Source organism: Homo sapiens, chromosome 12, assembly GCF_000001405.40.
Source record: "Homo sapiens chromosome 12, GRCh38.p14 Primary Assembly".
Classification (NCBI taxonomy): Eukaryota; Metazoa; Chordata; class Mammalia; order Primates; family Hominidae; genus Homo; species Homo sapiens.
Genome location: NC_000012.12, coordinates 82,681,360 through 82,694,482, shown reverse-complemented (window position 1 = coordinate 82,694,482; position 13,123 = coordinate 82,681,360). Strand labels below are relative to the sequence as shown.

The window sequence follows — 13,123 nt, the reverse complement described above, 5'->3', positions numbered from 1 at the left end:
CCTCTGCCAAATACTAAGGTACTTCTAAAACGGATACAGTGGCACTGCCCTCAAGCAATGTGGTACAGGAATAACCTTCAAGAAAAGTAAATATATCTTTAATTCCATTTAATTCCACAATAAAATGGAATCTAAATCCAGGGTTCATATTTTCAATTCTCACCTTTTTTCCATATAATTTTTTTAGACATGAATAAATCAAAACCTCTCTATCTCATCTTTAAAATAATTATCTCTAGCTTTTCAAATTAATGGAACTTATGAAATGTCCTTAAATAAAATAAACTACTCTAAAAAATGCTATCAACTTTTAATGTGGAATCTTGAAAACAATCATTTCAGTCCTCCTGCCTTTTTCAAAATTCTCAGGTTTACACAGATAGGTTTACTTAATTGTTTCCCATTTACCTGTATTAAAAAAAAGTCAAAGTTATAAACCCAAAAAACCAATCCCAAAATGCTTCTAAAAGACTGAAGCAAACATTTACACCTTTTTTTTTTTTTTTTTTTTTTTGAGATGGAGTTTCACTCTTGTTGACCAGGCTGGAGTATGGTGGCGCGATCTTGGCTCACTGCATCCTCCGCCTTCCAGTTTCAAGAGATTTTCCTGCTTCAGCCTCCTGAGTAGCGGGGGTTACAGGCACCCGCCACCATGCCTGGCTAATTTTTATATTTTTAGTAGAGACGAGGTTTCACCACGTTGGCCAGGCTGGTCTCCAACTCCTGAACTCGTGATCCACCCGCCTCGGCCTCCCAAAGTGCTAGGATTACAGGCGTGAGCCACCGCGCCCGGCCACACCTTTTATTCTAGAAACCTTGAGTATCAAAACAACTGACAAATATAACTGGAAAGGTAAACACAGAGGAGAAAAAGAGAGGAAGAGGGTGAGACAGAAATTTAGAAGAGCTGCATCTTTTTGGACCTAACTGTCTTGAAAATACGGCCAAAAACCTGAGGCAAAAATCTTGAATCCCTATGACAAGTTGAGGCAAATCTAGTCAACTCAAAGAGTTCAGACATCCAAGAAAAACGACTGTCCTGAACAAGTAGGAAAGAGACATTTGGAAGAGGCATTCCAAAGCTTCTGCATGTATGAATGAAGCACCAGTAAGTACAGACCCAAAATAAGGCCAGGCCAAAGTACCAATCATGAATCTTAGGAGTGAGTGTTTTGGAAAAGAAGCTAACAGACTCCCAATGAAAGTTTTTAAATATGAGTATCAATAAAAATAAACATGAGTAAAATAATTAAAAGGTAACAATCAAGTGATAAATTCAAGTGGAATTCCACCTGCCAGAGGTCAACCTATCAGCATTTGTATAGATCTATCATTAGACTCTCAGATTCAAACCCTTTACAGTACCTGCTAAAGTACAGGTAAGAATGCACAATGTTTTGTGGGATGCTTGTTAACAAGGTAAGCAGTGCTGTAGTTGTACTATGCACTACATATACAAAGAAGCTCATATGTAGTAATATTCATAATTTGTGAATTATTGAATGTAAGTTTATTCCTCAAAAGCACATACAAATCATATCTTCAAAGAAACATTTAGCACTGTATGTAATTACACCAGCAATTATTCAAAATATTATGCCTTTTTCACCCAATGAAAAAAAGAAGGTATGCAGTCCTGCTGAAATATCCCTCCACTTTTTTAAAAAACTGAGCTCCTAAATGAGGACAGCTATTTATAGAGGAGAGGTCTTTACATTCAATAACCCACCGTTCCTTTCCTTGGAGGCTGCCACACTTGTCACTTTTGTGAAGCCATTAAAATAAGTATCCAAAGCTGATACAATACTCTGCTCCTAAGAGAGAACCAGAAAGGTTAACAGATGAAAGTTGCTGTGTTAAAAGCACTTCAGATGAGTATAATAAAGTTATAAGAAAGTAGGTTTGTCAGCCACAGATTTTTCAAAGAGCCTTAAGGGTAAACGTCATCCTTTCCTAATATTACAAAGGTTCCTGCTTTAGAGACAACGCACCTTTAGCCTACGAAAGACAGTTGTACCACCAGAGGCATTTTTTTGAAAAGTGCTTTTAGTGTGCTGAGCAGCAACAAAACTGTTAGAAAGACAAACTATGTTCCTAATGCATGCTGGAATGCAAAAGGTTGTTGCTATTTCAAAATTATAGCAGAAGAGAATTCAGTATTAACAACAGGGGCACATTAGCACTGAAGAACTAAGTGCAGATGACAAAACAAAAGCCCATAGAATCACCAATGTAAATGTAATAATCGTGCATGTATGTGTGTGTGTATGTGTGTATGAAAACAACTAAGAGACAGATGGCAATTTTCCCTGTGGCATTTGCACATGTCCATTCAATGCATGTATGTGGGTCAATTACTATGATAAACATCATGTGACAGGCTCAATGGAGGTAAAGCGGTTCATACTGACTTCACCTAATTTTAATTTATTGATGAGATATACTTATTCAAAACAGCAAAATGAACTTTTTCCAAATAGGTTTGTTTAAACAATCAAAATGTAGTTAGAAAATAAAATGCCACCTAAAATAATTTATAAACTCTAACTTGTATTCCAGTGAAAACTGGGAAGGAAACTGAAGAGTAAGACCATACTTCTGTATACAGTGGCTTCTTATAATAATCACTTGATAAGACAACCACTGATACAAAGAGAGCTTCTCCCTTACTTAATTATATAGTAATTCTTTCTAAACATGCTTTTTACTAAATACCAGGCCTGCCTTCAGTAGTTACACATGCTGGAATCTTAAGATAACAATCTCAGATTGGTCAAAGACAAGTCTATTAGAGAGAACTTTTTAAAGATAAGTTAACAGAGTGATTATTTCACGAGGGATTCCTATCATACCAGGTCAAAAAACCCAAACTAACAATAACATTAAAAGATCAAGCAGAAATAATAGTTCAATATCTTTAGAAAGAATGCAGGTTTTAAAAAAATTGTTAATATACTTAAATTCCATTCCTTCATTTTAAATAATATTAAAATCATTATAAAGAAAAAATTAACTCATGTGTTTATAAAAACTGAGATTTCCATTTATACCCAAATGAAAAGCTAACTAGGAGTGAATTATTAAGAGCTTGATGTAATTTTAATTCCATAGTAGAAACTTCTGCTGTGTAGTTGTTTCTCCAAGTTTCAAAAAATTACTGCACAGTGGAATAGCTAAGAGATCTACAGGTAACATTAATGATTCTGGTTGAGTTTAACAAATGCAAAATGGGCAATAAGAAAATAAATTTTCAGAGGAGTCGCAAATATATTTTCTACTTCCAAACCTGCAAATTGTCTTTGCAAACTAATAAATTATTTTACTCATATGAGAATTTAAAGCATGTAAAAGTTGCATTATCTTATTTACTTGTCGATGTATAAAAAGGGCATGTCACCAATTAGAAGATATGTGCTAAGTGAAATCAGACTTCTAAAGTTTAGAACAGTTATGGTTTGTTTACCTTTGTCTGCTTTGAAGTAAACTGACTCCTCTCATGGTGTTATCTCCATAAGAAACTCATAACAGTATTATTAAAAAGGATAAGAAAAAAGTGATGCCATGTCATCCTCAACAAATGCGTAAGAATGCAGAGAGTTTTGGGTCAGAGAAGTTTTACCACTGACCTAAACACCAAATTTCTCCAGAAAATAAGAGAAAATCCTTTAAGGAATCACATACAACATAACTTAAAATTTGGCAAAGACTGCATATTGTTAATTTCAATTTTCCTCTAACCACAACTTAAGATTCAATACTAGATTGAAAGCAAGGGGAGGGAGGATGAAGCTGAAACCACATACCCTTTTTCATCAGATACTGTGAATTCTTCTCCTCCACTGTTTGTTTCATCACATCAGAGGCATATTCTTAAATTTAGCACAGAAACACTTGTAAAATATTAAATTTTACCATAGAGAAATTGATTGTGCTATAAGAAAGTTTCATGTTACCATTTAATTTCAACCAAGCTACATCAAACATGGAAAGAAATTATATATAGTTTATAAAGTAAACGATCACTATATTTAAAAGAAATGATAACCTTGAGAAGTACCACAGCAATAATGATTTAGTTAAGCAAGTCAGGAATAACAGCCATCTCCCTTGAGTGCTTCTCCCTTCACTTCTGGCACTGGCCTCTCCTTACAGAACTGGATTTCACAAAAGTTCCTGGAGGGCAGCAGAATCCACAGGTCTAGTTTAAGCAATGTTTTAAACATGAATCTTTGCATCTGAAATGTAGTAGCGGAAATAAACAAATTATCATCATCCTACAGTTTACACTTGGCTCCCCAGCTTTCCTCCCCCTTCACACACCAGTGAGTTACAGTAGTTAGATAGAAAATATATCAGAAAAGCCACAATTTATAGTGTAACTTCACAATGAATCACTTGAACAGGCTGTGCATACAACAAATAAGTTCAGTGCTCCTATTTATGTGTCTCATAATTTCTAGGATACATAAAAACAAAGTTTGCTGCTCTTAAGATTTCACATTCTAAGAATATGTGATGGCATATGTAGTTCTGCTAAGAAATCAGTGTAAAATACACTTTTCAAATTGTAGCAAAGTATAATTCACAGTTACAGGCCCTCAATATTTTATCAATATATACTATCTAGACATCATATTGAGCATGCTATCAATAAAATCATATGGGCAAATAATCATACTATATTCACCTATGTAGCTACAAGATAGAAGTCACGAATTTTAACACTCCATTAGACTATTGCATCTGAAAAACTTACAACTGCCAACCATCAAAGCACAACTAATTTATCATCACACTCACACCATTCTTCCAAGTTACAAGGTCCAGTCCTAACACTTCTGATGACTCAAGAGCACAGAACAATTATACCTATAGAAAAATGCATATCCAAATTTAACCTTAATTTTTAAAGAATGGCTTCTTCTGATGTGTATTTTCTTAAGGATTAGACAGCAATGAACAAGGGCATACAATAGGAATACTTGATTCACCACCGTGTTCTATAACAAGTTGCATTATTATAATAAGTTTCTTTTTTTAAATAAACTCTATATTCTTGGTTTAAATGCTTACTATTCAAACTGCCCCCAAGAGCCAGTAACTGCCCACACTGACCCAAGGTGGTTTTAGTGAAAAGTCACCCATCAAGTTGCATTATTATAGTAAGTTTCTTTTTTTAAATAAACTCTATATTCTTGGTTTAAATGCTTACTATTCAAACCGCCCCCAACAGAGCCAGTAACTGCCCACACTGACCCAAGCTGGTTTTAGTGAAAAGTCACCCATCTTTGGAAACAAGGGCTTTTTCCACGAATATGCTAGAAATAGCAGGTGCACCATTACACAAAATTGGAGAGAACAGAAATTTACCTCACTCCTACAGACCATTTCTCAGAGCATGCTGTGTAGTTGCTAAAATCAGTATGCTGCGTAAAAGTTAAGAAAAAATGTATGTCTAACAGTGGTTCCCTATCAACTAGCCTCTGGTAGGCACTACATAAAATGCATTAAGACGGGTTTGCTGGATGTTCTGGCACCTATTATCAGGTGATTTTTTAACAGAGATGTGAAGATGCTTTTAGCAGGAGAATGGGCACACCAGAGAATACAGAATGTGGCTAATTACGACGAGAAGAAGATTCTGCCTTCACCTCCCCTCACTGTCAACCACTTTGCGTAAGTGCTCTCACTGCCTCGCCCTAACCCTGGGGATCCATTCACTTTTCATAGCTCAGAGAGGCTGCTGAAAAGCTGTCAAAGTAAATCTGTGCTCACTTTTTGGATGGTTTAATTTCAATGGAGCATGAAACACCCCAGGACGGTTAATAAGTTTAGCCAGGCGTGCTGTTATCCCTAATATATTTTAATTATGCATCTGTTTTAATTGTAATCAGATTAAGACACCGGAAGGACACAAATTGGAATTTTCCCTAATGGATATAGGGGCTTTTCATCACTTTCTGAACACTAATAACGTTTAAAAGATAGGAAGAGACACCAACACAACGGTGACATTTTCCAGAAATCGATGCAGTTTCTTTGACAACACAGTTCAGGTCTCATTAGCCACCCAAACTAACCTAAGTGCAGAAGACAACTTCAGTCTCTAGGGGCGTCTTCTTCTCCAATTAGTACAAAAGAACCACTAACATCTAATGTACAACTCCCAAACAGAAATGAGAAAGCCGAGGCTTTTATAAAGTGCTGCCCAATGGATTGGTGAAGGAGGCTAGGGCGGCGGGAGAGACCATCAGCAGCATTATTTTGGCTCAAAGTAAAAGTCTATACACGTTAAAAGGGAAAGTTAAAGCAGAGAACGATCTCCCTTTTCACAATTTTGGCAACTATCAAACGTGTGTTTTAACTTCGGGAAATAAAAGTGTCCCATCAATAAAAGGAAACGGGACAGGGAGGATCTATCAGGGATCGAGGAGAGGCTTCCTCCCAACCAGACGTAAAATCACTTAATGTGCTTTGTTGCATCAAGGAATACCTAAGACTTTAATTTAATACGTTCATTAAACAGTTTCCCAAATTGCCGGGATTTCCGCTAAGAAACTCAAGCGTCTGCCAACAGCCGAGAAGCAAGGGAGAGAACCTGCTGCAAACTAGGAGCGGAAACTCCCTCGGCCCGCCCAGCGCGCCTCACGTCCCCGGTGTTTGATTTAGGTGTTAATGTTTACGTGTCGCCTAAACCATCAGGTGCTGAACCAGTTCCTCCAAGACGCACTTTGAGCCTTAAAGAGGGAAGCTTCAGAGCCACTGCGGAGTGTGCCCCCTGCAGCCCGTCGCCCCCTCCTCTCGGCCCCTTACCTGTCATCATAGCAGAAATCCGCACTCAGGGTGTTGAGATACAAGGCGAGCCCCAGAGCGCTGCTCACCAACTCTGCAATCATCTCTCCACCGCCTTCCCTCCGGCTCGGCTCCCAGCGCGAGGGCAGCAGCGGCAACAAAAAACAGAAGCATCAATCTCCACCTTCCGCCGCCTTCTCCTCCCAGCTTCACTTTTCCCTCGCTTCCCCACCCTCCCTCCCTCGGGTCCTTCCAATCCACGACTCCTCTCCTCCTCCTCGCGCCCGTCTCCGCAGCTCCTGCGTCCTCCCCGGGTGCGGGCTCACACCACACTCCCCATGCCCGGCGCCCGCAAGCGGTGAGCGGCGTTTGGGCTCCGCGTCCCCCGGCGGAAGCGCAGGGCTGGTCTTTCGCGCGGGTCGCGATCCCCACCCTAACCCATGGCAGTTTGGGGCGTCCTAGGTGAGGAGTGGGACTCGGAGGAGGTGGAAGGGTGCGGGATGGGGGCAGAGGGACCGGACCAAGCCGGGCTCTGGGACCAGCTGGAGGAAGAGAGAGAAAGAGGCGCGGGTGGGAGGGACAAGGCGAACCGCCTCCCCTCGCCGCCTCCCGGGCGCACTGCTCCGGTGTCGCTCGGGCGGACTCCGGCCGCCAAGGCAGCTGCTGCACATTCAATGTTTATTAGCTCCCTCCCAGCCCCAGCCCCAGCCCCAGCCCCAGCTCCCTTCTCCAGTGAAGTGAGAAGCGGTGGCTGGAGACTCCAGAAGCTCCCGCGTGGGGTTCTCGACGCGGCCCCCCGCGCCTGCGTGACCAACCCTCCATCCCGGCTTGGCCCAGCCCCTTTCTCCACCCAGATCCTCCCGGAAGGCTCCTCCTACCCTGCCCCTCGGGCTGGAGGCTCCTCCCACCCTCCCCGGCCTGGAGGCTCCTCCTACCAGCCTCCCGTCCTCTTGTTTCTTTCACCTTCGATTTCACTCTGGAAAGCCCCCGGGACCCAAGGGCGACGGCTGGAAGACAGCCCAAAGGAGTAGATACAGTGCACCCTGGGAGGGGAAGCTGGGAGAAAGGAGGTCGAGGAGGAGGTGGTCGGTCGCCCCGCTGCTGCCTGGCAGCGCCTGGCACGGCTGAATCTCAGCCACAGCGCTGTGTGTGCCAAGAGCTGCCAGGCGTAAGTCCGGTCAGCTGGAGAGACTTCTGAGACCGGGAGAGGAAGAACAGGTTTGGCGACTGCTGCAGCTTCGGTTGTCACAAACTCACTGGCGATCTCTCACGCACACTGTGTGTGAGACTAAATGGGGGGGAGGAGGTAGTATTGGAGAGCTTGGAGGCAACTTAGGAAGGAGAGATTTCAGCTCTTAGCCTACGGTTGGCCACAATGTCAGTGGAAAGACGTGTAGGGAGAGAAACGTTTCCTCCTTCAGTAAGGTTAAAAAGAAAGGACCCCAAAAAGGGAAAGAAAGACACACACACACCCCGCAGCAACTGCCCGGGGACCCCTTCGTGGTTTCAGAGGGACTGTCGGGTTGACCCTGAGAACACAGGAGAGAAACCTCTAGTGCAAGCCGGTACAGCATTATACTTAAACCTAGTAAGGCAGTAAGCTAATGCCCTTTCCTTTCCGCTCGGAGGCAGGACTGGATGGAAAGCATCCAACATGGTGAAATATGGTGTAGAATGGTCTGTGTAGAACAAGCTCTGGGTACTAAAGTTGCAAGACCAAAGAGGACCCAGGGCTGCCTGACACGCCTCCTCCCGGCTTGTTGGCTTTCTGGCCAGGAGAGTAGCTCCGGTGCACCGCGATGTACACTACTGCAGCGCCCCCTGCTGCATAGTAACCACAAGGTGTGGAAGACAGGTCTGTTTTGCATGCGGGCCGACTGGTTCCAACCAAGAGCAGCACCTAACCAGCAAGCTCTCCGAAACTGTGGCAAGAAATTGAGCCCCCTGGGTGTCTAGCAGTGGCCTGGAAAGAAAATACCGTGGTCTGGGCTTCTGTAGAACAAAGCTACATATTTCCCTGATTTCACAAGGAAATCTGAGAAATCTGTATTGGATACACACAGATAAAATGATGAATATTTATTAATATTATACCTGTTATGCCATCCACAGTAGCACATTTTTTGTGCCCTGGACAAATATATGTAAACAAAAATAAAAGGAATTATGTCTTTACAGGTAGGGACTGATCTTTTACCCTTTTCCTCCATAACCTTTGCTCACTTGAAAATTTTGAAAATCATATCAGTTAGTCCATCCTGATGCTCTGTGTCTCTCCAATGCACTTACATGCTGAGATATATATAGTATATATAAAATATGTATATGGTGTCCTAGAACACTGAAGGAAGAACACATACTGTGGGATCAGATGTTTAAGTTTGAGTGCATACTCTGCTATTACTATTTGGGCGATCTTTGGCCAGTCGTTCAACCTCTTTGTGACTCTGTTTTCTAATCTATGAAACAGTGATAATAATAGTACTTATCTTATGAGTACTGTTATTATGAGTATTAAAGTAGTTAACCTATGTAAAATATCTAAAAGGGACCAGGAAAGTGCTACAGAAGTATTAGCTAGTATATCATTATTACTATGCTTTCTAGCTTCCTCGTTTCATTTTACTTGTTAACAAAAACCTGGACAGTTACCTCCAAAACACATCCTATCACATCTTTACTACTTGAGTCCACAGCCCAGCTGCCCTCATCTCCTGCATAGACAAATGCAGTAGCCCTCTAAGTGGTCCCCGTACTTCTACCCCTGCAATGCCTCCCTTCCCCAATTTTAACTTTAGGCAGAAGTTTCCTTTGAAAACCTATACATTCCCAATTTTTAAATGTTCCACAACTTCCTGTTGTATTTTTAAATGTCCAACAACTTCCTGTTTTACAGCTAATAAAACTAATTCTTACCATGGCCAGCCAAGCCTTCATTTAGCCCAGACTACCCCTCCCGCTTCATGTTGTGTTCATATGTGTACAACACAGACATCCTTCTCAGGAACTAACCACTTTCTCTTCCTCCTGCATGAGGTTCTTCTCCTCAAACCTTCTCTAGCTCCTTCTCACCATTCAGGTCTTAGCTCAAATGGCATAACCTCAGAAATAAAGTAGGCTCTCCCCCATCAATCTCTATCCAACCACCATGTATTAGTTTCTTCATAGTATGTATTAGTATCTGGAAGCACCACTGAGTGGAAGCTCCATGAGGTCAGGGATCCTGTCAGTCTTCTTTTCCACATAAAACCCAGAGCCTATAACATCTGGACACGGAGAAGAAACTTTAAAAAGATTGTTAATAAATGAACAAAATAAATGTGCTTAGGAGAAACTACGTAACAGCTGGAAAATCCAAAAATTTTCATCGCTGATTTATTGTTTGTCGTTAGTGTTAAAGATCGTGAAGTATTAACCAAGGAGAGAGGAAGGGAGCAGGTTCACAGTTTTTCAGAATACATCAAGTCTGCAGGAATACCCGTGAAGGGGAGTCACATGGACAGGTCTCTTCAGTTATTAAGAGGACTCAGATATGTAAAAATATTAGAGAGCTTTGGGTTCCACATGCTAAAAGCTTGTAAGCCTTTTCCACAGCTGTGTTCATTTTTAAGGCTCCAATAGTTTAATTTAATTTTTAATTTTTTTTTTTTTTTGAAACAGAATCTCACTCTGTCGCCCAAGCTGGAGTGCAGTGGCCCGATCTTGGCTCACTACAACCTCTGCCTCCCGGGCTCAAGCGATTCTCCTGCCTCAGCATCCCCAGTAGCTGGGATTGTAGGTGTGTGCCATCAAGCCCGACTAATTTTTGTATTTTTAATAGAGACGGGGGTTTTACCATGTTGCCCACGCTGGTCTTGAACTCCTGACCTCAAGTTATCCACTTGCCTTGGCCTCCCAAAGTGCTGGGATTATAGGCATGAGCCACTGCGCCCAGCCATGGCTCCAATAGTTTTAAATAAATTTTATACACTCCTCCATCTCCTCGTTTTCTCCTTTCCCCACCTCCCAATACCTCTGAATTGGAAGCCTAGGTGACTGGGAGATGGGCTGTAAAATGGCACATCTTGCCTTCCCTGATAAACAGAAGGCTGAAAACCTAGCTGTGTTTGAGAAATCCAGTTGCTTTTAACAAATTTTTCTATTATAATTTAATGTAGGTTTCAATATCCTTCCAGAGCATTAAGCCATGGTCTCTTTTAGATTGCTCTCCAAGGGCTGAGAAGCAGCCAATTCCTGAATTTTCTACCTTCCTGGAACAACTTTAGGAGGAAAATCAGATTAAAGATGTCATCATTATTGTTGGAGATCATTTAAAATCTGAGGACATAGGTTTTTAGTTTATCAAGGTGTACTTATTTGATGTAAGGTTGCAGCATCAGTTCTGAATATGTGTATGTTCTATTTAAAGCGACAGTTGCTCTCCACAGGTGAAGGAAATTAGGATGGCTGGCTTGAATTTTCTACCTTAGACACAATACTGGCCAAAAAAGCGCTAAGCCCTTATTTTCCTGAAGTAGGCTCCACACATCTGCTACCTCACCACTTCCTCAATGAATTCCTTTTTATAGTAGCCCCGACCTACCCTGCATTTGTTCTGCATTCTCAGTCCTTTGTTGTATAATTCATACCTTTGCAGTGCCAGTTCCTCAGGGTAAAGATTTCCTTATTTGCCTAAGACATTTTTAGTTTATTGTGCAATACTATCTTCCCTTTGGGTGTTGCATAAATATTAACTAAAGATCCACATCTGGTCCTGGTCGTCATTTCTATTTGTCCTAATATAACTTCTCTTTGAACAATTCATTTGGAAAGTGTGCCAAGGGTGAAATGTGGCACGTAAATTCTCTTGCTGCACAGAATGCTTTTTAAAGTGCCCACAGATTTGGTTATTTATGAGCAGGAGATTTGCGCCTCTTCCTTGCTCTCTCAATTCTAAAATTGTACTGGGCCAAAATAATTACAATCTTCCATATGTTTTCTGAAAAGGTATCCAAGTATCTCCTGCTAAAATTTTAACAGATTGACTAAGAAGCAGAAAAACACTAGCCCAGCAGGTGAAACTGCCTGTTTAGGGAGGTCAGAACAGAGCTCTCTGCTGGGGGACTCATAAGCTCTGGGATTTACTCAGGAAATAACCCTGCAGGAGAAAAACAGCAGAGCATGGATGAAATGTGGGTCAGGGAGCTGAGACAGGCACATGGGCGGCTTGGTTAACTAATGACTGTAAATGCATTGGCAACACATGTTACATTTAGATTCTTCCCAGCATACCATAAAGTGCTGCCCTGCAGACACTACAATGTATAACATCACTTTATCCCAAGACTTGTGATCCATTAGGAATAGAAGTAGAACAAGGCAGCCACGGAAACAGATCTTGTCACCTGTGTCTCAAAACAGGGACTGTTAAGAACCAGCTGCTAGCAAAATAATGATCACTTTAAGAATCTCACAGTCTCCCCAGCTTCCAAGTCTGAGAATGTGGGGGTGAGGGAGGAGACAAGGAGGAGGAGGAGTATAGAAATAACATGTTAATAACCAGATATGAATAATTGCAGAGATGTTGAGGCTAATGATAGAATTCAAAAACTCAATCAAGAAAAGCAAGGACAGCCTCCTTTATAGAATCTCTCTGAATGCATTCACATGCACTGATATAAACAGTGATCAAGAATGCTCTAACAGCTTGAAAAATTGCACCATCAGGAAACAAATTTTGATAAGCCTCAGATTCTTTAAGGAAAATTAATTTTGACGTGGACATTAGTTAAATTCACCAGCTATTCATGAATGTTGCCTTGATGTTTAACCCATATGAAACTTTTAAGCCAGTGTTGTCCAGCAGAACTTGCTGCAGAGGTGATTTTCTGTTGCACTGTTCATTAGTTATATGTGGCCATTGAGCAATTGAAATGTGGCTACTGTGACTGAGGAACTGCATTTTTAATTTTGTTTAATTTCAATTAATTTAAATTTAGTGACATGTGGCTAGTGGCTAATTTATTAGACAGAATAGCGTAAGCTGTCGGCTGACCAACACCACTTGTGTTTTACGGTGGATTTCATGTAAAAGCCAGTTAGTTGTCAACATCCTCCCACAGGTCAAAGCTTTAGCCCTGAATCATTTGATGTGAACTTCTGTGCTCCCCATGGGTGACCTGCTTTTATTTATAAAACGGCTACCAGCTATTGAGCATTTTTCTAGGTATTAGGCATCATACTAAGCCCCTTATATTTACTATCTCATTTAATCGTCATAACAGCACAGGGAGGTAGGTACCATTACTATCTGTATTTTGCAGATAAGGAAAAGGAGACACAGAGAAGTTTA

At 41.3% G+C, this 13,123-nt stretch overlaps 1 protein-coding gene across 5 annotated transcripts in view, besides 6 other annotated features; it reads right to left on the bottom strand.

The window, feature by feature from the left end:
- The window catches only part of TMTC2 (transmembrane O-mannosyltransferase targeting cadherins 2), a 447,961-nt gene extending 440,384 nt beyond the window's left edge, over positions 1 to 7,577 (bottom strand). For all 5 annotated transcript variants that reach the window (XM_017018884.3, NM_152588.3, NM_001320321.2 and 2 more), the window contains exon 1: positions 6,814 to 7,577. Coding sequence is in view for 3 of the 5 variants with exons in the window: in NM_152588.3 (NP_689801.1) it covers positions 6,814 to 6,896 (83 nt within the window). In the remaining 2 variants the exon portion in view is untranslated. The remainder of the gene's footprint in view (positions 1 to 6,813) is intronic.
- Positions 6,557 to 6,616: a silencer, noted in NCBI's record as "silent region_4689". NCBI's record gives its function as "represses an Ori minimal core promoter by ATAC-STARR-seq in GM12878 lymphoblastoid cells {active_cell/tissue: GM12878}" and the evidence as "EXISTENCE:reporter gene assay evidence [ECO:0000049][PMID:35858748]".
- Positions 6,977 to 7,026: a silencer, noted in NCBI's record as "silent region_4688". NCBI's record gives its function as "represses an Ori minimal core promoter by ATAC-STARR-seq in GM12878 lymphoblastoid cells {active_cell/tissue: GM12878}" and the evidence as "EXISTENCE:reporter gene assay evidence [ECO:0000049][PMID:35858748]".
- Positions 7,597 to 7,696: a silencer, noted in NCBI's record as "silent region_4687". NCBI's record gives its function as "represses an Ori minimal core promoter by ATAC-STARR-seq in GM12878 lymphoblastoid cells {active_cell/tissue: GM12878}" and the evidence as "EXISTENCE:reporter gene assay evidence [ECO:0000049][PMID:35858748]".
- Positions 7,737 to 7,946: an enhancer, noted in NCBI's record as "active region_6692". NCBI's record gives its function as "activates an Ori minimal core promoter by ATAC-STARR-seq in GM12878 lymphoblastoid cells {active_cell/tissue: GM12878}" and the evidence as "EXISTENCE:reporter gene assay evidence [ECO:0000049][PMID:35858748]".
- Positions 7,967 to 8,116: an enhancer, noted in NCBI's record as "active region_6691". NCBI's record gives its function as "activates an Ori minimal core promoter by ATAC-STARR-seq in GM12878 lymphoblastoid cells {active_cell/tissue: GM12878}" and the evidence as "EXISTENCE:reporter gene assay evidence [ECO:0000049][PMID:35858748]".
- Positions 8,547 to 8,626: a silencer, noted in NCBI's record as "silent region_4686". NCBI's record gives its function as "represses an Ori minimal core promoter by ATAC-STARR-seq in GM12878 lymphoblastoid cells {active_cell/tissue: GM12878}" and the evidence as "EXISTENCE:reporter gene assay evidence [ECO:0000049][PMID:35858748]".